The sequence below is a fragment of the Homo sapiens genome, chromosome 15 (genome assembly GCF_000001405.40).
Source record: "Homo sapiens chromosome 15, GRCh38.p14 Primary Assembly".
NCBI lineage: Eukaryota > Metazoa > Chordata > Mammalia > Primates > Hominidae > Homo > Homo sapiens.
The window spans coordinates 74,270,626-74,295,053 of NC_000015.10; the positions used below are offsets into that span (position 1 = coordinate 74,270,626).

At 52.1% G+C, this 24,428-nt stretch overlaps 1 protein-coding gene across 17 annotated transcripts in view, besides 4 other annotated features; it reads left to right on the plus strand.

The window, feature by feature from the left end:
• The window catches only part of CCDC33 (coiled-coil domain containing 33), a 133,474-nt gene that overhangs the window by 67,627 nt on the left and 41,419 nt on the right, over positions 1 to 24,428 (plus strand). For 16 of the 17 annotated variants that reach the window (XR_001751401.2, XM_047433141.1, XM_011522085.4 and 13 more), the window contains 5 exons: positions 1,078 to 1,169; positions 2,146 to 2,266; positions 9,338 to 9,467; positions 10,043 to 10,176; positions 11,153 to 11,224. Coding sequence is in view for 16 of the 17 variants with exons in the window: in XM_047433141.1 (XP_047289097.1) it covers positions 1,078 to 1,169; positions 2,146 to 2,266; positions 9,338 to 9,467; positions 10,043 to 10,176; positions 11,153 to 11,224 (549 nt within the window). In the remaining variant the exon portion in view is untranslated. Of the gene's footprint in view, positions 1 to 1,077; positions 1,170 to 2,145; positions 2,267 to 8,493; positions 8,668 to 9,337; positions 9,468 to 10,042; positions 10,177 to 11,152; positions 11,225 to 24,428 lie in introns of those variants that run through there. The other variant, XM_011522089.4, reaches the window with a different exon arrangement.
• Positions 6,068 to 6,792: an enhancer, noted in NCBI's record as "H3K4me1 hESC enhancer chr15:74569034-74569758 (GRCh37/hg19 assembly coordinates)". NCBI's record gives its function as "activates a minimal SCP1, AML or CMV promoter by ChIP-STARR-seq in primed H9 embryonic stem cells {active_cell/tissue: H9 hESC(primed)}" and the evidence as "EXISTENCE:reporter gene assay evidence [ECO:0000049][PMID:30033119]".
• Positions 6,793 to 7,517: an enhancer, noted in NCBI's record as "H3K4me1 hESC enhancer chr15:74569759-74570483 (GRCh37/hg19 assembly coordinates)". NCBI's record gives its function as "activates a minimal SCP1, AML or CMV promoter by ChIP-STARR-seq in primed H9 embryonic stem cells {active_cell/tissue: H9 hESC(primed)}" and the evidence as "EXISTENCE:reporter gene assay evidence [ECO:0000049][PMID:30033119]".
• Positions 20,379 to 21,580: an enhancer, noted in NCBI's record as "VISTA enhancer hs2614". NCBI's record gives its function as "enhancer in: forebrain[3/7]" and the evidence as "EXISTENCE:transgenic organism evidence [ECO:0001131][PMID:17130149]".
• Positions 20,702 to 21,130: a silencer, noted in NCBI's record as "fragment chr15:74583668-74584096 (GRCh37/hg19 assembly coordinates)". NCBI's record gives its function as "represses an EF-1alpha promoter that drives an FKBP-Casp9 reporter gene in an ReSE screen in HepG2 liver carcinoma cells and phorbol 12-myristate 13-acetate-treated (for megakaryocytic differentiation) K562 erythroleukemia cells {active_cell/tissue: HepG2 | K562(+PMA)}" and the evidence as "EXISTENCE:reporter gene assay evidence [ECO:0000049][PMID:32094911]".

Below are 24,428 nucleotides of genomic sequence, written 5' to 3' on the forward strand. Positions count from 1 at the left end.
GGAGGTGGGTGAGGGCTGAGGGAGAGTGGGAGCCATTGGTGGATACAGGGTGAGGGTCAGGGTCCGGGAGATCAGGGCCTCTTAGGCTGGCAGCAGAGGCGCATGGGGACAGACTCCCTGTCTCCCCTGTCTGCCTTCCAGTGTCCCCCAGGCCCAGACTGAGCAGGGGGTCAGTGAGGGTTGGAGCAAGGTGACGCTGTCCACTCCTGCTTTGTAACCTCCTGCTGGGACCCCGCTCGGCTCTCTGAAAGCTGCGCCAATAGAAGCCTGGAGTAGAGGAGAGGGCAGTCAGGACTGGGAGGCAGGGAAGCCTTTAGGGGGTGACAGAGGACTGAGGAGGGAACAACCAAGGGCGGTCAGGGGAGTGACAACCGGGATCTGATGAAGAAAGAGGAGCCCAGAGATGCGGATGCTATGATCCTGTTCCAAACCAGTACTTCCTGGGGAAACCAGCAAGGCAGGAGAGCAGGCACCAGGGTGAGCAGTGGAGCAGGCACCAGGGTGATGGGCACGAGGGAGGCAAGGGGAGCCTGGCTGTGGCCGCTGATCTCAGGAAGTTCAGCATGGTCGGAGAAACCAGACCTGGGCTTCCTGTCTTCAGTTTATAAAGTGCTCTCTCACAAACGATCTAATCAGAGACCCCTCACAGCCCTGGGAGGAGCCTCATTTGACTGACAGAAACCAAGGAGCTGGAACACCTAGCCCTACCCCTAGCCCAACCCCTCCCCAGGAGCCAGTGGAGGGGCCGAGGTTAGAACACAACCTCCCTTCCCAGGACCCAACTCTCATCGTACCCTTTCTCCCCAAAGAAACTAGTGTAAGAGATCCATTGGTAAATCCCAGGACAGAAAGCGGGAGCAGTTGCCTCAGCTCGGCAGAGAAGGCTTCCTGAGGGAGGGCAGCCTGGTGCAAAGCAAGAACCGAGTAAGGCAGGGAACAGGGAGAAGCAGGTGTCAAGTGTGGAGGCAGCCATGAGCTCACGGATGGGGAAAAAGAGGGTAGGCAGTCTGGCTGGCTGTCTCTGGAAGGTCCCAAGGCCACATGGTGTTCACCTGCCTCCTCTCCTCTCCTCTCCAGATCTTTCTCCGGGGAGTCAACGAGCCCCTGGCCAACAACCCCAACCCCATAGTGGTGATTGCCCGGGTCGTTCCCAACTACAAGGAATTTAAGTGAGTGGGGCCCAGGTGGACCTGGGTGAGGAGGGCAGAGCAGAGGGCAGAGGAGGGGGTGAGGCTGTCATTGCTGCCATGGGCTGATTCCAGGACCTCCGGCAACCCCTCTACCCCTAAGGCCCTTCAAGCCTCTCCATTGGGTCTGAGGTCCCAGTAAGCTTCCTGCAGCAGACCATGCCTTTCTTTCCCCAGGGAGAGCCCAGGCCCCTGGAAAGGGGCAGCTCAGTCCTCTCCTGAGAGCAAGCTGGAGGGCAGGTGGTGGGGATGAGTGCCGATACCAGGCCTAACAGCTAGAGAGTGTGGGGAGGACAACAAGAGGGGTCCTCATTCCCTGCTCAGGGAACCTCAGCCCCTCCAACCTGCCTCCCTGCCTCACACCCACCACCTCCCCACTCCCCCTCCCACTCTAGCTCAGGGCCACAGGCTCCAGCCAGTGGTTGGCCCCAAAGGCCATCTTGGAACTTCACAGCCTTTAGCCCTGCCGGGCGGAGTCTCCTCCCTCCTCATCCTGGAGGTCTCCCTGGTCCCAGCCACAACTCATCCCCTCCTCCCCTAGACCTCCTTTTGAGTCTGTTGGAGTCACAGTCCTCAAGAGGAGATTCATACTTTGCCACACAGTGGGAAATTCCCCTATGAACGTGTGCTCTCTGCCACAGCACCGACTCCTGGGAGTCAGGGTCTGTCTTGGTCACTTCCAACTGGCCCTGATGGCCCAAGATGACTCCCCTACTTCTCTGTATCTCCTGTTGAGTTTTTATGACTTATGAAGCCCCCTTGCTTGTTGGAGGAAGGAAGATGATTGATGCACGCCCAGCCCAGTGGTCCCCACTTGTCGTGAGGTCCAGGCCCGAACTCGGCGGGATCCCTGCAACTCCCTTCTCTTGCATCAACCCAGAGTCTAAGCGGGGGGCCCTGGGCTGCCAGGCTCAGGTGCAGAGCCCAGAGCACTGACCCTGTCTCCCTGCCTCCCCAGGGTCAGCCAGGCTAACAGGGACCTGGCCTCTGTGGGGCTGCCCATCACCCCACTGTCCTTCCCTATCCCGTCCATGATGAACTTTGACGTGCCTCGCGTCAGCCAGAACGGATGCCCTCAGGTATGTCTCCTCCCCAGTGGTTCCAGCTTCCTGTAACTACCCCACACATTCACTGTTCACTCACTCAGTGAGTCAGTCAGCAGTTCCCTTGACTATCGAGTAAGAGTTGACTGAATCCCACGGCATACCCAGTGCTGTGCTCGCCTGTGCGGCAGAGAAACTGCCCTCCAGGAACTCTTGGTCTGGTGAAGATGGGAGTCACGTGGGTGAAAAAGTTGAACATCAACACAAGATAATGTATAATCTAATAACAAACTGGGAGGGCCTGTCAGGGCTATCACATCAGAGGAGAAGATACAAAAGGACAAATATATGATTCCACTTATATGGGATACCTAGAATAGGAAAATTCAGAGTCAGAATGTAGAACAGTGGCTACAGGGGCTGGGGAAAGGGAAGAATGGGGAGTTACAGGTCATAAGTACCTAGTTTCCGTTTCAAGTGATGAAAAGTCCTGGAAATAGATAGTGGTGATGGTTACACAACAATACGAACAAATGAATGCATTTAACATTACCGAACTGTACATTAAAAATGGCTACAATGGTGAATGTTGTGTTACGTATATTTTAACCCAGTAAAAAAATTTTTTTTGAGACAGAGCCTCGCTCTTGTCTCCCAGGCTGGAGTGCAGTGGCGCAGTCTTGGCTCACTGCAACCTCTGCCTCCCGGGTTCAAGCAATTCTCCTGCCTCAGCCTCTCGAGTAGCTGGGCTTATAGGCACATGCCACCATGCCTGGCTAATTTTTATCCTTTTAGTAGAGACAGGGTTTCACCATGTCGGCCAGGCTGGTCTCGAACTCCTGACCTCAGGTGATCCACCCGCTTTGGCCTCCCAAAAGGCTGGGATTACAGGCATGAGTCACTGCGCCCAGCGAAAAATTTTTTTTAATCAGAGGAGAGGGATGTAAAGCCTGGATTAGGGAAGGCAGTCTTGAATTTTTTTTTTTTTTTTTGAGACAGAGTCTTGCTCTTGTTGCCCAGGCTGGAGTGCAGTGGCACCATCTTGGCTCACTAGCAACCTCCGCCTCCCAGGTTCAAGCAATTCTCCTGCCTCAGCCTCCCAGGTAGCTGGGATTACTGGCACCCGCCACCATGCCCGGCTAATTTTTGTATTTTCAGTAGAGATGGAGTTTCACCATGTTGGCCAGGCTGGTCTCAAACTCCTGACCTTGTGACCTGTCCACCTCGGCCTCCCAAAGTGCTGGAATTACAGGCATGAGCCACTGCACTCAGCCGGCAGTCTTGAATTTTTAACAGAGGAAGGGTTGGTACAGGTTGGACACAGCAATAGCACAAGTGTGAGGTGGAGACAGGCAGGCTATGACCCATGTCAGGGCAGACAGGAGGGCTGTGTGTTTGAGTATGAGGTTGGGGGCGGGTGCACGCACAGAACATGGCTGGGTTCAGGGGAATAGCCAGATTGGTCTCTTCTCATGATCTGCGCTTCACTGCCAGCTTGCCCTACACGATGGTCCCAACATTCCTAGGGGCCTTGGGGGACAGAGGGATTTTTGGAGGTCCCTCCTATTGTCTGCCCACCAGTGCTTATGTCTGGCATAGCAAAAATAGAACAAGACACCCCTTTGGAGCCCAGGCTTCATTTAAAGGCAAAGACATTTGAAGAAGGCTCAGACATGGGGTAGAGTGATGGTGGTGGGGAGGAGTGGGACAAAGGGGGACCCTGGGGACAGAGGCTTCAAACCCAAACCAATCCTTTGCCTGATTTCCCTAGAGTTACCTCACACATGGCCCTGCATTTGCCCAGAAAATTAAGAACCAATCAGCAGGCTGTCCCAAGGGGCAAGAGGCACTGCCTGCTTTAATGAGTGTGCCCCCTCCCACCCCCAGGCTTTCTCTGGCTGCCTTTGCTGCCTAACTAGTCTGGGTAGGAGAGGTGCCACTCACTACAGAGACTTGTTCCCAGTGCCTTTTGCATGTGTGGGACCCGGTCCAGCAATGGCAGGACACCTGTTGAACATCACCCAACCCCATGGCAGCTGGGCCAGGTTGGGAATTTGCTGGCAGCTGGCACAGAGGTGCCCAGGTGCAGCAGTGAGAGAACAGGAGCAGGCTGCTGTGGTAAGGAGGGGTGGGGATTGCCCGGGCAGAGCCATACCTGGAGGGGCACCAGTCAGCAGCGTGAGCTCAGTCTTCACACAGACCCCTGCCCTGTTCCCTTTGAGCGTCAGTCCCCTCATCTCTACACTTGAGGGGGTGGGATTGGACTTGGTAATTTTAGGGCCTGCCCTCTCTGACATCTTGGGGGGCTGTGATTTCTCACCAACTGTCACTGTGCAAAAGCACTGTTTGACCTGGGTTTGACCCCAGCTCTGTAACTTACTGGCTGCATGACCTTTGGTAAGCTGCTCCTTTCTCCAGACTCATTGATTCCAATCTGTTAGGAGAACTCAAAGGATAATCTTTGCAAAGTGTCCAGGCCCAGGGTCCAAGGTAAATGGGTTCCACTCTTAACAGAGCTGTACCTCCCCTAGTGCCAGTGTCCCCTCTGAGGCCAGCCTCACCACTGCCCTTTTCACATCTGGCTCCAAGTAACAGAAACCCCAACTTGGATCGGCTTAAATACTAAGGATATTTATTGTCACACACCACATCAACTCACGACATAGAATGCTGCCAGAATTGGTGGATGCTCAGGCTCAGAAGCATCCTCGAGGTCTCAGGATCTTTCCAACACCCCGAATTACCATCTTCAGCTGGCTAACGGCTCATGGGGGCACTTCATCCAAATAGAATGAAAGACCAGCAGATAAGAGGCAGCCTCTCTTTTTTTTTTTGCGACCAAGTCTCTGTCCCCCAGGCTGGAGTGCAGTGGCGCAATCCTGGCTCACACTGCAACCTCTGCCTCCTGGGTTCAAGCAATTCTCCTGCCTCAGCCTCCCGAGTATCTGGGATTACAGGCGAGCGCCACCATGCCCAGCTAATTTTGTATATTTAGTAGAGATAGGGTTCAACCATGTTAACCAGGCTGATCTTGAACTCCCGACCTCTGGCGATACGCCCACCTTGGCCTCCCAAAGTGCTGGAATTACAGGCCTGAGGCACCGCACCCAGCAGCACCCTCTCTTCTTGTAGGTGGTTTTAAAGAGCAACTGGAAACCAACCTTACCCAGCCATCCCTCAGCAGACCTCCTTCCTGTCTGATTAGCCAGGATTGGGTTACATGCACTTCCCTGAGCCAATCACTAAGGAGGGGTGTGGCTCTGCCTTGCTGGTATAAATGTGGAAGGTTATGGAGGCGGAGCCACCCGAACCCAAGGGCCATCTGCTGGTGATGAGGCAAGGAGGGGCATGGTGGTGGGCTAGGTGGCCCTCAGTGGAGCCTGGTGATGATGGCAAAGGCTGAACTGGTGAGTTAAGGGGTAGATGGCCTGTCGGACTTCACCTGGTCCAGCCTGCTGGAACCAACATAGGGTGGGCCGTGTAAGTTACTCCTACCCCGGCACCTTGGAAGGGGCCCATTGCCCAACAGGCTGCTCCTGTTGTTCTGGTCTCCTACAGAGCTGGAGTGGAGCTCCGGGAAGCCATGTGTGCCCACCACCATCCCCTCCTCTCTCAGCCCCACAGCTGGCCTGTCCCCAAGCTCTCCTGGGGCCCCTTCCATCCCCACAGACCCTGCCCTAGTGCTAGCCTCCCCTCAGGCCCCTGCCATCCATTCTCTGAGGAGCAGCCAGGGCATCCCCTGCCTAGCCCTTCCCCTGGGCCCCCTGTTACTATCACGACAAGGCAAATCCCACTCTCAGCCAGGTCCACAGGCCCTGTGCCCTCCAGCCTCCTGGCTTATGGCTCCAGCTCATACAGGCATTCTGCAGCCCCACTGGACAGCTTGCTGTTCTCCACACCCACACTGCCCCTTCCCACCTCCAGCCTCCACCTCTGCTGCACTCGCAGTCTGGAATGGCCTTCCTCTTCCTTACCTACTGCCCTTGTCCTTCAGGTCCTCCCTGAGGAATGGGGTCAGAAGTCATGGCTTTCTCCTCGCACACCCCAGCTCCCACAACCACAGCTTGCTTAGGACTCTACATGTTTGTGTGTGTGTGTCTGTCTGTCTGTCTGTCTGTCTGTCCCCTATCCTCCTGGATGATGGTGGGCTACAGGGTCGGGGGCAGAGTCTGGCTCTACAGCACCCCACAGGCATCTGGAATGGAGAAGCCCCCCAGAGTCAACATTTGCTGAGTTCAGTGAAGTTGAACTTACATCTTAATAGCAAAACATCCATTGTCTCCTTTAACCTTACAACAGGCTTTCAAAGTGAGGAGTTTGAGGCATATCCCCATGGGATGATGGGAAAAGTAGGTCCCAAAGAGGAGAAGGGACTTGAAGGCCACACAGCAAGGTTGAGGCAGACCCAGACCCAGAGCCAAGGGGTCCTAGATCCCTAGAGACCCCAGCCCAGCATCTGCTCCCAGCAGCTACTCCTCCAGATGGCGGCCACTATGCCTGGGCAGAGCAGGCAGAGGTGGATGTGGGTGGGCCCAGGGGAAATAAGGCGGTGGGCGTGGAGGGGCCATGGAATGAAGGCTCTGTCCCCAGGGGAAGCAGGTCTGCCTCCATGGCTGGGGGTTAATGGCTTTTCTGAAGATCACAGCTGAGGGTTAATGACATTCCATAATTCCACTACCGCTGTGGCCCTTCCATTAGCATCTGCAGGCGATGCCTGCCTCTCCCCGCCCCCATCCTGCACACACATCAGCCACAGTACCCTCACCAGGGCTCTGGCGTCAGACTGCAGGTCTTCTAACTTTGAGTTCCCACCACTCCTGCCTGCACATGCACAAGACAGGCTGACCCTCCCTCCCCAGTCCTAGGTCTGAAGTGATCTTTCCTAAGTGACTTGCCCTGGGAAACTACTCAGGGAAAGGGCTGTTCCTTATTGGGCCGGCAGCCACTCACCACCTCTGGCTTCATAGGCTCCATTTAGACACATGAATAGGTCCCAGAAAGGGCAGCTAGCGTCTACTAAATAACCCTCTTCCAGGGTAGGAGCAAGGTATGGACGGCAGGGGACTGAGTCACAGGTGCCCCAATGCCTGGCAGACAGTCCCAGCCATGTGGACCCTCCTGCACCCAGGAGAATGGGGTGACTCTGGGAGGGACATGGTTTGGGGATCAATCTTGAAAGATCACTCCCAAGCCCCACAGAAGTCAGAACCAACTTCTCTCACCGGACCTGTTGGCCAAGCTCCCATAAGAAGTGGGATGTTCCCATCATTGCAGTCTCTGTTCAGGTGTCCAGGGCACCCTAGCCCTGCAGTGACTGCAACCCATCTCCCCAGGGGCAGGGGCAGACACAGCTGAGCCTTGGGCTGGGCCTGGACAAACCAGGCCCATTAGTGTGACCGTCATCAGCACCCTGCCACTGTGGGGAAGTGGACCTACACTGATATTTCATGATCCTGCATCAATAACTCCTGGAGCCGCAGTGCATTTGTGCTGACCTTTTCGAGCAATGACTGATTCCTGTGGGGGAGCAGGAGGTGGGAGCGGCTGCTACTGTTGCTGACAGCCCCTGGCTGGGGAACAGAGGCAAGGCAGCCACTTGGTGGGTCTGTAGCAACGACCCGCAGCCCCGCCCTGTGCTGGGACCCTGCAGGGCTGCCTGCTGGGAGTTATGGGCCGATGGCCATCTCCCATCTCCCACCTTCTGGCCTTGGCAGATGCTGGGCCTCCCCCTGGAGTCTCTCCTCATTTCAGGCGTCCTCTGCACAGGGTGTGCTCAGTGCCACTCCACATTTTTGATTGTGCTGTTTTCCCATCCTGAAGACCTTTATCCCTCTCTTCACCCAGCCAGACCTTCCTTCAGAGCCTTTCTCTGGTTCTGCTTCCTTTAAGGAGGCTTTTCTGACCACCCATGGGAATATTTCATATAGCTCTCTTATTGGGCAGTGCTACAGTTAATACTGTCTTGTTTCATTGTTTAAATCATACCCATGTGTGTGCCCTAACTGCTGACCTAGGGTGCCATCAAGTCCCCCGAGTGCCCACTGGCCCACACTGCGGGCACACGGAGCCTCTGTAGTCTGCAGAGATGTCTTGGCCTCTGCAAGGGGCTGGGGAAACTGTGTGGGAAAGAGAGGGGCTGGTGACACAGACAGAGGTCATGTCTAACTTGGCATCTGTGACACCACCAGCCATGGGTGTGAACACAGATACAACACTTTAGGAAAACAGTTTACCAATAATGAATGAGGTGTCCTAAAATACACATGTCCTATAACCCAGCAATTCCATTTTAGGTAGTTGTACTAAGGAAGTAATTTGCGACATGAAGATATGTAGCAGAGAACGTTCAATGCAGTGTTATTACAGGGAAAAATGGGAAGGAAGAAATCAGGGCACTTGGACATGAACTTCATATCCTGAAGTTACTCAAGTCATGGGTAATGAGCTTTCTGTGACTTTGGATCTGCTTAGGTTTTACTGGCAAATGAAAAATGCAGGATGCTAGAATGGTGATTATACACAAAATATACACAGAAAAAAACTAGGAAGAAGCACAGTTTTATGAATTATTGTGTTTATCATAGGAACACAGGAGCTGTTTTTCTTCTTCCTATTTTTCTGCATTTTCCTAAATGTATTTATTAGGTGTGTGCTGCATTTATTTGTTTATTTATTTATTTATTTATTTTATTTATTTAGAGACGGAGTTTCGCTCTGTCACCCAGGCTGGAGTACAGTGGCGCAATCTCATCTCAGGGCAACCTCTGCCCCCCCGGGTTCAAGCAGTTCTCCTGCCTCAGCCTCCTGGGTAGCTGGGATTACAGGAGTCCCCCACCACACCTAGCTAATTTTTGTATTTTTAGTAGAGACAGGGTTTTGCCATGTTGGCCAGGCTGGTCTTGAACTCCTGACCTCAAGTGATCCACTTGCCTTGGCCTCCCGAAGTGCTGGAATTACAGGCGTGAGCCACTGTGCCCAGCCAGCTTGCTTTTATAGTTGGGAGAAACATTTGTGACAAATCTAGATACACAAAACCAAATATCTGTGTATGCCTTGATTTGGGAGAAGCTGTGGCCCCCACCACCTGCTCCTACCCTCTCCCTCCAGCTGTCCAAGCCTGGGGGACCCCCAGAGCAGCCCCTGTGGAATCAGTCCTTCCTCTTCCAAGGCCGAGATGGAGCTACCAGCTTCTCAGAAGACACAGCCCTGGTGCTGGAGTACTACTCCTCAACTTCAAGTACGTGACCCCTGGTGCCTCGCCAGGGCAGCCATGCCTCAGGAGATCTGTATTATGAAAGGGTGTTCAGACCATCCCACCTCTGCCTCCCACAGGGATGGATGGTTCCCAGGTGTCCAGGCGGCTTCCTAATGCAGGCAGAGGAGAGCTGGCTGCGTTCCTTGTCCACAGGCCAGGACACGTGGGCCTGTCCCATACTAGGTCTTGGCCCCAAGCTTTGTTTTATTGCACCCATCAGTGATGGGGGAGGGCTGGAGCCCTCGGAACTCACAGAGAGGGGTGAGGGAGATGGGCTTCAGAGACCAGCTGATCCACAGTTTTCTGCACTGTGGGATTGAAGCCCCCAAAGGGTAGAGATGAGGCTGATGTATATAAATTCCCAGACACACAGAGTATGTTTAGAGTTGGCTTTGAGTTCACAAAGCCCTGAAGATGAGAAGAGGATGTATGTGCAGGGAAAGGCCAGGAGGCAGGAAAGCAGGCAGCGGGAGACAGGAGGACTGGATGTCAGGTATTAAAGGATGGGGCCGAGGTGGGGGCTTTGGCAGGAGCCCTAGTTGATCCTTCCCCCACAGTGAAAGGCAGCCAGCCGTGGACCCTCAACCAGCCCCTGGGCATCTCTGTGTTGCCGCTAAAGAGCCGTTTGTACCAGAAGATGCTGACAGGGAAAGGCTTGGACGGGCTTCACGTGGAGCGGCTCCCCATCATGGTGAGCCCCCTGCCCTGAACTGGGCCCCTAGCGTGCCCACCTGGCCCCACCCTGCCTCACCCTGCCCCACCTCACCACACCTCCATAGGAGAATTTGGCTTCTCCAGAAGCTTCTGTCAAGGCACCCACCAGGGAAGTCACCCAGTCTAGAAGTGAGGAGCTCCCTGGAACCCCAGAAGCCAGTCTTGCCTCTGGGACTATGACGAACCAAGCCAGAGAAATTGCCCCTGAGCAACTTGGGAGACAAGTACAGGGTGACCCTGTGAGACAGTGCAAGAGTTCAGGCTTTCAGCCAGCCAGACCCTGATTTGAACCACAGTTCAAATCCTCACTGTGGAAATTCAGGCACATTACTGAACCACAAGAGTCCTCGTCTGTAACACAGGAGAAGCATGCCAAGTACACAATCTCTGTGTATAACAAGAGAGTTCAGAGCTCAGGCTCTAGAGCCAGACTGTCTGGGTCCAAATTCTGGTTCCACCACATACCAGCTAACATGACCATGGGAAAACTACTGAAAGTGTCAATGCCTCAGTTTCCTTGCCTATAAAATGGGTACATGGCAATAGCACTTTTTTCATAGGGTTGCTGTGAGATTTCATGAGAAAACCCATGGAAAGCACTTAGAGTAAGTTCTCAACAAGAATGAATAATATCGTTACCATCATTCTCTATTCCTATGCCACCATTTCCCCTAAAATACTTCTGGCCATCCTGACATAATAGACCTCAATGAATGAGAATCTCTCTGTCAGATGAGCCTGGTAGTGCCAGACAGGTCTCTAGAGGGGTTTAGAAGGGGTGGTGTGGAGGCAGTTTGCGAGGGCAAAAGCAGGAGGCCAGCTCCCACCTCCCTCCCACCCTCCTGGGTGCAGCCCGCAGGTGACACCTTCCAGAGAAATCTAGAACAGTAGGTGGGGCAGAGGCGGAAGCTGCCCTGGCCAGCATGGTCTGAGTGCTCCCTTTTCCTCCCCAGGACACCAGCCTGAAAACTATCAATGATGAGGCCCCCACAGTGGCTCTCTCCTTCCAGCTGCTTTCCTCTGAGGTAAGGCTGTGGGCCAGGGGAGGGTCAGGGCCAGCAGGCACATGTCAGTGAGATCCAACTTCCTTCACAATTGCTGGCTTTGTTCAGGGACTTCTGGGAGGATGGGACTACTACTTTGGATAGAAACGTCTAAGGGTGATTTGAGACTCCAGACAAACGTAGAGAGAGCTGGGATTAGGAAGAGGAGAGTTGTGAGCAGAGGGCCACCCAGACCTTGGAGTCAGCCTCTGACCAAGCCCAAGCCAAGTCTGGCTCACTGGGATCGAGGTTCTGCAAGGGTGAGCTAGGATATCAGTTTTCTATTGCTTTATAACCAAATTAGCAGCTTAAAACAATGCCCATTTATTAGCTGACACTTCTATATGTAGGTCCCATGACACAGGGTGGCTGGAATCAAGATGTTGGCAGGGTCACATTCCTTTCTGGGGATTATGGGGAGGAATCTGCTTCCAAATTCATTCAGGTGGCTGCCACAATCCAGTTCCCTGCAGTGCCGGACTCACATCCCGGTCTCCTTGCAGGCTGTCAGCCGGGGCAGCTCTCAGCTCCTGAAGGACGCCCACATGCCCCCTCACAATGGCCCCGTTCATCTTAAGCCAGCAGGCATGTCCAGTCCCTGTCACACCTCAAAACTCTGACTTCCTCTTCTGTCAGCAGCCACAGAAAACTTTTAGAGGTGCTTTTAGAGGGATTTTAGAGGGGCTGGTGTGATAAGGTCAGGCCATTCTAATCATCTTCCTATCTTAAAGTCAACGGTGCCATGTAACAAACATAATCCCAGGAGTGATCAGTCATCATATTCACGGGTTCCAAGAATGAGGGTGTAAAATCTTGGAGGCCCGTTTTTGGAATTCTGTCTACCACAGCTGGGTTGGTCCAAATGTGAAGACACCCAGGGCTAAGCCCTGCCTGCTGGATGAGCCTCGATCCCTCTCGCTAGCTACACCTGGTCTCAGCCCAGCTTAGACCCTGCTCATTTGGCTGCAGTGCACATGCCAGGCACCCGCTGGACTTTCCCTCTTTCCTCTCAGTGGTGCTGGGATGTGAGTAGTTTAGGACCATGAACCCAGAAAGTGTTTGCAGGGACTAATGTCCGCGCCAACCCACTCCTGCCTTCTTCCCACGCAGGAAAAATATCCACCAGCTCTGGGGTAGCACTTGGCTCTGTGACCTCACTCATGAAGAACACAGGGAATCCTATGGTGTGGGGTATGAGGAGTATATCTGGGTTGGTACCAGCCTGAAAGTGCCTTTACAAGGCCTCTGGAGAGGGCCTGAGACCCCATTAGCACTCCCTGCTATAGGTGTTCAGGATTGCCCTCTCAAGGGTAGAAGCAACAAACCCCAAGAAAGAGGCACCAGAATCTTGGAGAAAAAGGTCACAAACTTCCCAGTTTGGAGCCCAACCCTCCGGGGCCTCTTCCCAAGGTATAGAGTCTGCCTGTGGCCACTGGCCACTGCCAGCCCCTCCCCACCTCCCTCTGTCTCCTGCCCCTTCCACTGGGCATGTGTATCCTGGGACTAAAAGGAGCGTCAGGTGCCCCTGGTCAGGGGACTGACTAGTGGGCCCAGGCAGGCAACAGGCAGGTGGGCAGAACAGTTTCCCCATTGCCCAGGGGCTGGGCACAAAGGTCTCCAGTAATGAATTATTCACCGGAGCTGTGCTAAGTGCAGAATTAATCCCTTTCCTTCCAGCTGGCGGCCTCACTAAATTATCCCTCCAAGTCATGCGGGAAAATGCTGCCGAATTCATTTAGCTGCTGAGTGTTTTGATCTGGGCCTTGTGATTTTAGCGTCTCCTTCCCCCAACCCCCTCCCCCTGGAGGCGGGTAAAAAACCTTTTAGTAATGGATTTCTGAGAAGAAAGGAAAAGAAAGGGGATCAGGATTGGGTGTGTACCAAGAAAATAGTACTAGCAGAAATTCAGATTCTGCAGCCAAGAATTCACACACACACACACACACACACACCCCCTCTACATATACACTCTCAATCACGTGTGAATATCTACACACAGTCACAGACACACAGATGTGTGCGCACATACCTTGGCAAGAAGGATGCACACTCTTAACACATATGTACACGCTCTCACATACATGCAAACTGACACACAGATGTTTTCACACCTGCAGTGGCACACACGGAAGCTAAATCTCTTTGTAGTGGAACTATTTCTTGGTAAACTATCTGAGAATTGGCCAATAACTGACTCCCTTTGATTCTAGAATCTTGAAGACCAATTTAGGAGCCTAAGTATAAAGTGCTAATGTGGTTAAATTCACCATGAAGTCCTTGCAGCTGCAGCACCCATTCATTTATTCTTTTATTCCATGTATATTTGATGAGGAGTCACTGCATGTCAGGTAGCATGCAAGGCAAGAAGTAGAATTTTGGCTGCCATTGTGGATTGAAATGGGGAGAAGGAGGGGTTGGCAGCCATGGACCTCATTTTGATTTGAGCTCACACCTTCATTGGGCTTGGACATGGCTCTCTAGTGTCTGAGACCTTTTGGCATCCTTCTCCCTAAGGGATGGCAGGAAAGTGTTGAGAATTCATGAACAGGTCAGATGGCATTGCAGCTAAATCTAAAGGGGCCCATCCCCTTCTCCATCCCTCATCACCACCTTCACTGCAATACCATCATTGTTCTCTATGCAACTGCAAACATTTCTGAAGCACCCACATGAGCAATTGCTGTTCTGGATTTTAGGAATATTACACTGAAGAAGAAGAAGAAAAAAAAACAATCAGGCCCTGTCTTTCTAAAGCTTGCATTCTTAGCAGGGAGTATGGAACAGACAATAAAAAAATAATTCATGTCAGCTAATGATAAAGGGTCTGAGGAAACTCAAACAAGGTGACATGATACGGAGTCCTTGAAGGGGCTATTTGGACTCCTCATGGTAGCTGAGTACGGTGATGAGCTAAGCTGCTATAACAAAGAGATCAGGTTCCTGCCCCCTTATTGTTGCGCCTAAGGTGTTGCCTGCAACTTCATCATGGAAGGTACCTGGTATTCATCTCTGCATCCTAGACTTTGGGAAGGCAGCAGCAGGGCTGGGGCCATCAACTCTTCCACCCTTTAAATCAAATATTGCATAATGGGTCCAGAAGCCACCACCTGACACCTGGAGGTCTTAGAGTCCTGTGGACACTCCAGCTGCCGAGGCTTGTGATATTGGGCCTCTCAGGCCCCTCGTTCACATGGTCAACAACTCCATCCTAGGGGTAGCTCTTTGCATGTGGTCAGACATGGTCAGTGCTGTCACAGAGCGGAAATGCTTCAGGAGAAATGAATGCGCGTGCCGTATTTGGGCCCAGCCCCAGTCTGAGGACATAGGCTCTTTCCATGAGCCTCCATGTCCAGGAGTTTTGGGCACAGGCTGTCCTGGATAATTGGACATTTTGGTGAACACAGCTTCCCCACACCCGCCACTACCACGTCACCCATTCTCAGAGCTTTCAGAAGCAGCATGGTGAAATTTGCAAATAGGCAGAGACAGCAGTGGCCTCTCTCAACAGCCCACACTGGACAGCAATCTCCCTGGCAGCACGTGGTCATCCCAGTCTCTCCTCCTGTGCTGCCATGACAGACAGCTCACTACCTCCAGAAGCAGGCCTTCCTATGGCTGAGTGATAGAAATGGCCACCCCACATGATCTCAACCTGCCTCCTGGGGACCTCCCTCTGCCCCAAGCTCCTGGCTTTGCCCCCGAGGCTGCAGGGCGACCTCAGCAAGCCTCCTACATAGATCACATAGTCAGCCAACACTTTTGAGGGCAGACTAGATAACAAAGCCTGCAGACTCAGTGAATGGCAAGAGGTGGTGGTCTCTGGTTTGGAATATTGCACTTGAAGGTGGTTGGTTGGTGATGGGTTCGTTTTTCACCCTCTGGTAGGACTTCTCTAGTCATTTGCTGCTTAAAGTGATCTGCATTAAGATGGCTTGTGTGTGTAGGTGAGTACGTATATGAACACACACAGATCACACAAAAACTAGAAAAACATGTACACTCATATACAAAAACACATACACAGAAAACTTCCCTTTATTGCACATTCAGTGGGGACTGGCCTTTGAGGTCCATTAGGCTCTAAAAATCCATGAGTCTGGCTGGGTGCGGTGGCTCACGCCTGTAATCCCAAGACTTTAGGAGTCTGAGGCGGGCGGATCATGAGGTCAGGAATTCAAGACCAGCCTGGCCAACATGGTGAAACCCTGTCTCTACTAAAAATGCAAAAATTAGTTGGGTGTGGTGGTGGGTGCCTGTAATCCCAGCTACTTGGGAGGCTGAGGCAGGAGAATAACTTGAACCTGGGAGGTAGAGGTTGCAGTGAGCCAAGATCATGCCACTGCACTCCAGCCTGGACAACAGAGCAAGACTGTGTCTCAAAAACAAAAACAAACAAACAAAAAAACTCCATGAGCCTATGGCTACTCCACATACACACACACACAGAAACCTTTGGTCTCCTCCATTCCTCCTCTGATCTCAGCCTCTTCTCTTTGAAGAGTGTGATGTGGTCTCTGGGGAGTCTACACTTCCCCAGGCAAAGCAGCTTGGCTCTCTTAATGAACTGGTTTCGAGATCCCACAGCATCCTGGGTGCCCTCCAGCTTGCAGCCAGCCTCTTTGAAGTGAGGCCCACACTGCCCAGGTTTCCTGGGCTGACCTTGTGGATTGGAGCCTGGCATGCACACAGTAGGTGCTCACTGCATCAGTTCCTGCCTCTCTGCCTGGAAATGCACCTCCCCATGAGGTGGGACAAGTTCATGCCGTCATCTGGGTATACAGCAACATTTCTCCTCTTGCATTTAAGATTTGGGATCCATCACCTTGCCCAGATAGGGCACCAGGCAGAAGTAGGGCCTCTCAGATGGGTGGCCACACCCTCCTCAGCCCACAGCCCACAGACATGCTGGGATGACGTGAAACCCCCTGGCTTCCTGGGAGTATAGAGAGGGTGCATTTGAGGAGAGGTGGCAGTGGCACCTGCTGCCACCACTGAGGGGAGGGGCAGGTGCCATGGTCCCATCTGACCTTCCCCCTCCCTCTTCCCCTCATAGGGAGAGAGGGGGGCAAGTCTTTGATGCTACTCTGGTGGCTTCTTTTCAGACTAGTTACAAAGATCTCTCTGGAGACCAGCCCAGAGTGAGGACAAGTGGCCACTTAGCAAATATAGAGGAAAGGGCAGGGGACAGGCAGCATCATGCTGGCTTTTGAAGAATTTTTATGGATTTTTTGTAAGCCACACCTGACACCCCTGAGATGGTCCTTAGAGAAACTGCAACACAAACCTCCCTCCATTTCTTCCCCAAGCACAGCGGCCTGAATGGGCCAGTGCCCAGGGCAGCACAGCAGTCTCCTCCACTGGTTCTGCCCTCTGAAGGCTCTGTTCCCACCCCCAAGACTCCATCTGTGAAAACACTACCATAAGGATGGATCCAGAGAGAGAGACCCTTTCCCTGCCACTATCTCACACCATCCCTCACTGCCCTCCTTTCCACACCCAAAGCCTCTGCCCTCCTATCCTCTCATTGCCTCAGGTCATTTGGCAGGAGGCAGAGGAGACAGATCCACCCCTTACCCACAGGTGCCCTTTCCCTCACCTGCTCAGGTTCTAGGTCCAGTGTAGAGCTCTTCCCATCCCATCCAAAGAAAACTTAGAGCTGGGCGTGGTGGCTCTGGAGAGATTAAATCTGTATACCTGTAATCCCAGCACTTTGGGAGGCCGAGGTGGGCAGATCACCTGAGGTCAGGAGTTTGAGACCAGCCTGGCCAACATGGAGAAACCCCGTCTTTACTAAAAATACAAAAATTAGCTGGGCTTGGTGGCAGGAGCCTGTAATCCCAGCTACTGGGAGGCGGAGGTTGCAGTGAGCCGAGATCACACCACTGCACTCCAGCCTGGGCGACAGAGCAAGACTGTCTCTAAAAACAGAAAACAAACAAATCAAAGGAAGCTTAGGATGGGGCAGGAGAGACATGAGAGTCTGTGCTTTCACAAGGCCAACCTGGCCCCCAGGTCACAGACTCTGTGTCGGAGCAGGGCTGGCCATCCCACCTCTCCTCCTGCGCTGCCATGACGGAGGCTCCTACCTGCTTTCCACAATGCCTGAATCCCCCTATAGTGTTCCCTGCCTTGGGGACAATATTGGCCTCCCTTGGTGATCATGCAACTCCCATGCTGCCCACTTCAGAGAGAAGGAACTGAACAGTCCCTCCAGAACACACACAGAGTTTGACAGACTCTACTTGGTCATTTCCCGACAGAGAGTTCATTACCACCCAGGATGCCCTCTCCATCCTCTACTAGCTCCCTTCTAAACTTCCTTCTGTCTCTCTTCAATTTCCTCCCCCTGGCCCTGCCTTTTCCTCCCAGAGGCCAACTCCAGAGAAGTCAGGGCCTGTCAGCCCTACTGACATTTGCAAACTATTTATGGCATCTCCAGCCTGAACCCACTCTCATTCCTCTTCCTCTTTGTAGCACTTGGTTTCTGATTCTTGTCCTGCTGATTGTCTCCTCTTGACAACATTCCTGTTAAAGTATCCCCCAAAACTGTGGGGCCCAATCAGCATTAGAGGTAGAGTAGGAACATCACTCCCTCTCTCTGAATACATTCTCCCCTTTGGTGCAGCTGAAGCCTAGCTTTGGTTCTATTTTAGTATTTATCAAAGCAGTGAGGGTCTGTTTAGAGCCAGAGTCCAACTCTGGCACATCAGTAAGCAGCATGTCTGCATCTTGCCTCCCTGCTGTTCTATACTGAACTTAGACAGGGTTTCTCTCCCCTGTGGTATTTCACCTTTTTTATCTCAGCCCATCTTCTAAGCTTGAGATCATTCTGGACCCTGATTTTATCATGCAACACACTCACAGCCCCATCTGTACCCCCAACCCCAAGCTCCAGGTCATCTGTGGAGGTGGCCAAGACACTTGAAGTGCTGCAATGTCCACCTTGTAAGCCTGTAGACCTGGGCTTGAATCTGGATCTTCCATTTGATCTTAGCCATCCTGAGTTTCACTGTTCTCATCCATAAAAGGGGATTGTAATCCCTACCAGCCAGGAACATAGTGAAGATTGAATGAGGAAGCATGTGCAGGTAACCTAGCACAGTGTCCTGCAGATGCTCGGTAAAGGGATCTCTTAGTGTCTTTCACCCAGGTTTCTGACAAACATGCTGAACTCATCAGGGATGAGGACAGGGCTCCTGGGGGAGGGGAGTTGGTGGAGCCCTGCGAACCCATCACTCGGTGCCCGCCCCTCATGACAGCTGCTCCACCAGCTTCGCATCCATAAGGACATCAGGAGGCCTTGTCAGGTGCTGAAGATAAACATCGCCAGCACCACATTTGGTCTCGCTGCAATTTTCTGAGAATGAAATGGGGGAAGAGACAGACAACCATCTCTCCAGAAGCCAGACTTGCTGAAGTCCTCAATGTACCCTGCCCTGAGTTGGGGGCTGTGGAGCCTAGGAGCTCCCAGGCCAGAATGGGAAGGGCTGGATGGAGAGGCATACTGCTTCCAATTGCTAGTCATTCAGAAGACCTGCTTTAGCTCATCTCAAATGTCTCACCAGGCTGGGCCTAGTGGCTCATGCCCATAATCCCAACACTTTGGGAGGCCAAGGTGGACAGATCACTTGAGCTCAGGAGTTCGAGACCAGCCCGGGCAACATGGCAAAACCCCATCTCCACTAAAAATGCAAAAATTAGCCAGGCATCGTGTTGTGCACCTGTAGTCCTAGCTACTTGGGGGCGTTGAGGCAGGAGGATTGCTTGAACCTGGGAGGTTGAGGCTGCAATGAGCTGAGATGGTGCCACTTGGGGGTGCTGGGGCAGGAGGATTGCTTGAACTTGGGAGATTGAGTCTACAGTGAGCTGAGATGGTGCCACTACACCCCAGCCTGGGCAACAGAGTGAGAACCTTTGTCTATTTATTTTTTTAAATGCCTCACCAACCACAGAACCTAGTGTTGCCTTGAGAATGTGAGCCTACAACTCCCAGCTGCAGATGGTGTGTATTAAGTCAGAATGCAGAGATGACTGAGAAAACTGGACATTGAACACTCCCTTCCCTTGCTCTGCTCTCCCTGTGAGCCCAGTGCATAATTGGTAGATTGAAGAAGGGGGAGGGAAGGAATAGAGAGAGACATGGCAGAAGCTTCTAGACAAAACTTCTCAGAAAATGGGAGTTGGTCTTGGGATTTCCCCCCTTCTGAAAACCCAACCACCTTAGTATAGACCTCCCTTCAGTGCTTTCAGCCAAGATGTATCTCTGGCCCAGCCAAGGTCATTCATTCATTAACCATTTGTTAGGTTTCTTTTCCTTTTTTTTTTTTTGAGATGGAGTCCTGACCTGTTGCCCAGGCTGGAGCACAATAGCATGATCTCGGCTCACTTCAACCTCCGCCTCCTGGGTTCAAACGATTCTCCTGCCTTAGTCTCCCCAGTAGCTGGGATTACAGGTGCCCGCCACCATGCCCAGCTAACTGTTGTATTTTTAGTAGAGATGGGGTTTCACCATGTTGGCCAGGCTGGTCTCAAACTCCTGACCTCACGATCCACCTGCCTTGGCTTCCCAAAGCCATTTATTAGATTTCTAACCTGTGCCAAGCAGTAAAGCACCCCAACAGATCACTATCACCCATCTTACTAAGGGTCCTGGTTGAGATTGGTGCATTGAATATACAGAGGTCAGGGCAAGCATCACAGAAAGGCATGGTTTGAGCTCTGTTCCAAATAGTGGGTTGGAAATTGGCAAAGCAAGGGTGCTTCAGGCAAAGGGACCCCCATGTGCAAAGGCATGGAGGCATGACAGTGTCTGGAGCACATGACATATGAGAACTGTAATGGGCAGTGAGACTAGAAAGCTAGAAGAAGTCTAGATTGTAGAGGACCTGGGTGCTAGGGTGCAGGGTGAGGGCTTTATCATAAAGTGGTAGGAAACTAAGAAAGGTCTTGGAGCAGCAGTAGGATGTGATTTCATCTGTGTTGGAAAGGTCTGTCTGCATGAGAATAGGGGAAACCCAAGGGAAAAAAATAAATTCAGAAAGCCAGGTTTCAGGGTAACAAGAGTGAGCCCACAGTCAAACCACTGAGCCACAGGCAGGACTTTCATACTAAAATCCCCAACAGAATTTTTAAAAATTCTTATCAGTGGCACCCCTCCTCTGGCCTCAAAATGTGCTTTGGGATTAACCCTCTAACACCACTTCTGGCAAATGAATCATGGCCCCACCAAGGATTAACACTGGGGCCCTTCTTGGCTGGGAGACAGACCCGGAGCTTCAAACCCCACTGCAGCTGCAAGAGCACGCAGGATGCCATAAATGAGGCTCGCTGTATGCAGGGGAGGCAGCAAGCCCTCTTGGAGGGGCCTGTTGTCTGAGCTTCGCCTACAGCTGAAGAGATAAGAACCTACAACTGCAGCCACAGGAAATGACAAAGCAGTGACTGATCGGGGAACTGCTGCACAGGGCTCATTATGGCGCTTGCCAGTGGGCGAGACACCCTTATCAGGGAGAAAATTGCATCAGGCCTCCTGAATTACTAGCGATTGGAAGCAGATTTCTTGGGACTCACTTTGTTAGATACCTAATGAGCGGGATACAGGCGGGCAGAGCCCAAAGCCAGCGGGGCGAGGGACAAATGTCTTTGTTAAACAGAATTTGTCAGTTTCCGCTTCAGGCCCCCTGGGGAGGGTTCAGGGCCAGCTAATTGAATTAAGAGCATGTGCGCTCCAGCAAGAAGGCTCAGGGCGGGGCGAGAGGCAGGCAGGCCGGAAGGCGGGCACTTTCAGCACCAAGGACAGCAGCTGCAGCCTGGCTAGTCAGTAATTGTGGGGCAGGCTGGAACTGCTGCATTTTGCATGATTGGGGATCTAGGGGATGGAATGGGTAGGAGGAAGGCAGAGGATGTTGTGGGGAGGAGGGAGACAGGTGACCTAAGAAGCCTCAAGCCTGTGATGCCATTGGCCTGGTCTGTCTCAACAGACCCAACTCTGCTAACAACAGTGAGTGCTGGGAGGAGTGAGGAAGGGATGTCTTCTCCCCAACCATGGCACTCACATGTGGTGTGGGCAGCTGCAACAACACAGGGAGCAGTGAGCTGAATGCTGGGTCTGAGCTAGTGCGTGGCCATGCATCTCTTTGAGCTTTCAAAGTCAATCTCCAATTATAGTCTTAATGAACCAGGATGTGCTGCAGCCACGAAGCCATGGGGACAGGGGCCACTTGTCAGCCCCAAGCTGCCCCAGCAGGCAGAGCAAGGCTTGTCAAATACAGAAGCAAATAAGTAGGCTTGTGGGGTGGGCCAGCAGCCCCCACCTTACCTGGAGGAAAGGAGAGCGAGGCAAGGCTGGGCTTGATTAGGAGGAGTTAGTCTTGGGAGGAGTTAGTCTCCAAGGCTCTTCCCATCCTCCACCCTGACTCACCATCTCCTATGGGTTGGCTCTTTCTATGGTCTCGAGCAGCCTGGCCCTCTCTATGGTCTCAGGCAAGCTCCCTTCCTTGAGAAGCAAGGGGCTGAGGGCATAATTTCCTTCCCCAAATGTGAGCTGATTGAAGCTGTGGAGTCTGGAGAGGCAATGCTGACCCTAAAGAAGGAGAACTATTAGGGAGAATTTAGACATGATGGATCTCTTGGTGCCCGTCACCTCACATGACAAAAGCAACTCCCTCTGATGTGCCCTGCGGGATCTGTGCTGTTTGGAGGTCTAAAGATTTCACTATAAAATTCACCTCTCCACCTTGCCTCCAAATCCCAGGCCAGGATGGATCCTGGCAAAGTTGAATGGGACAGGGGAATGGGAATGTGGGCAGAGACCTGCAGGCTGGGGAGGTACAGGCATGGAGCAGCCATGGGAGCAGATCCTGGCCAGGGCCAGCCCCAGGGTAGGGCAGGACAGAATCATTGAGTCTGGCAGGCACTACAGGAAGGGTGGCTGGAGCAGGAATGGGCAGGATAGACTTAAAGTCCATAGGTACTCTGCCTTGCCTGCCCTCCTTCCCCGAGCCCACCCCCACCTCACCCCATAAGAGACTGATGGGGTAAAGGCACTGGTCTGGACTGAGGGGTTGTTCCCACCTTTATTTTAGCTTTGTGATGAAATTAAATGGATTATACATGGTAAATTTCAGAATCCACATACAAGTACCTGGTGAGTGCCCAGCTCTGACCAGGGGCTCAGTAAATGTCAGCTCTGGGTTATTGCATTGACCCATCTGGTGCTGGGGCCACACTGAGTGGATGTCAGGGAGACAGGCTATGGGGGAGGGAACTCCTTTGCAATTGTCCCTGCTTTCAGTACTGATGGGGGCACCTCTGGAGACCTCTCCCTTGATTTCATTACTTCTACTTCCTCTCCTAACTGGATTAGATGGCAGTCTATGAAATCCAGGGCATAGAGATTGGCTTTCTGCCTGGAAATGAGCAGAAATGTCATTATAGGTCCTGAATCAGCATCTCACCACAGCCCCAGGGGCCACCTGGTCAATGGGAAGGTGGTCTTTGCCCTGTATTTATGCTTTCCTTCATTCTCTCCTGCATTCATCCATCCATTCATCCACCCACTCATTCATCCATCCATCCAATATGCATTTTGTAGCTCTTCCTCTGCAGTCAATCTAGTGTTCAGCTGTTCCGAGAAAGAGACAGATGTGGTACTTTTTCCTATCTAAAACACATGGCCAGAAAACCCTAAACCATCTGACTCAGATGCTACCCTGGGTGTCTTCACGTCAGTGGGGAGCCTCCAAGTGAAGCCTGCCCTCTGTGAGCCATAGCTACTGAGAGGACCAGGTGGGAGAGAGAGCCAGGCCTGATGCCCACAGACAAAACAGGCCCAGGAGTCTTGGTCATGAAGTGCAGTAGGTGGCCTGCCAAAGTCAGCCTCGGGGTCCCCCAGTGTCCCACTCTTCCCATTCCAAGAGTCTTATTATAGCTGCTTTCTCTTTGGCGTTGTCTATTTTGCACCCATTTGATGGGGAGTTGGGGGACATAGAGCCCAGACTTAGCCAAATGCCTCTGTGTACTTATGTGACTGTCCCTTACTCTATAGACATGGCCAGAAACATCTTCACATTAATGAATTTCTGCACAGCAAATTTTATTTGAAAGGGGCATAAAAGAATAATTACTTAAAGAATTTCAGTGGTAAAGTGAAGGGTCCTTGTCTCAATTCATTGAATTAGTATGCATGGACTTTCCTATAGAAGAACCACTTTAAAAGAGGCCCACCTGCATTCATTCCCTCTCTGGTTGTTCAGGGTCAAACACCTGGGCACCTCTAACTCTGAGCGCATCTGTACTGGTTGGCAGTGTGCCCATTGCTCTATTTATTTCTAGCACAAGACTCCAGACAGTGGAATAATTTGTCTGCTATGCAGCCAAGAGAGGATTCCAACAGCTGGTGCAGGGTGGAACTGGCTCACTTTTGAGGTCCCTGAAAACCCTAGGACTGCATGATTCTTTGAACAATGAGTATGTTTTAGAGATAACCATGAATTTCCAACAGGGCTTTAAAGTAACCCTTCCCCAAAGGGAGCACAGACATGTCCCTAAGCCCAAGGAACTTAAAATTTTATTTAAAAAAAAAAAACAAAAAAAAAGCAGCCAGGCACAGTGGCTCACGCCTGTAATCCCAGCACTTTGGGAGGCCAAGGTGGGCAGATCACAAGGTCAAGAGTTCGAGACCAGCCTGGCCAATATGGTGAAACCCCATCTCTACTAAAAATACACAAAATTAGCCAGGTGTGGTGGCGGATGCCTGTAGTCCCAGCTACTCAGGAGGCTAAGGCAGGAGAATTACTTGAACTCAGGAGGTGGAGGTTGCAGTGAGCCGATATCATGGCACTGCACTCCAGCCCGGGCAAGAGAGCAAGACTCTGTCTCAAAAAAAAAAAAAAGAAAAAAAAATAGCAGGCAAGTCTGGAATTAGCAACATGAAAGCACAGACAGCCAACTGCTAGACCAGAAGAACCCAGAAAACCTACAAGTCAGTGTGAGCTGAGACATCAAGTCATCCTTGGGCGGTGGGGGTGCTGGTATTTGAGTGGCATCAGACTTTAGACATATGACAGTGATAATCCTGCCAAGGGAGAAGGAGGAGAACGGGAAAAGAACATGGAGGGAGACGAAGGCTCATCAGAATATACAGAGAGGAGAGACTGTCTGCTTAATGGGTGGTAAGATTGAAGGA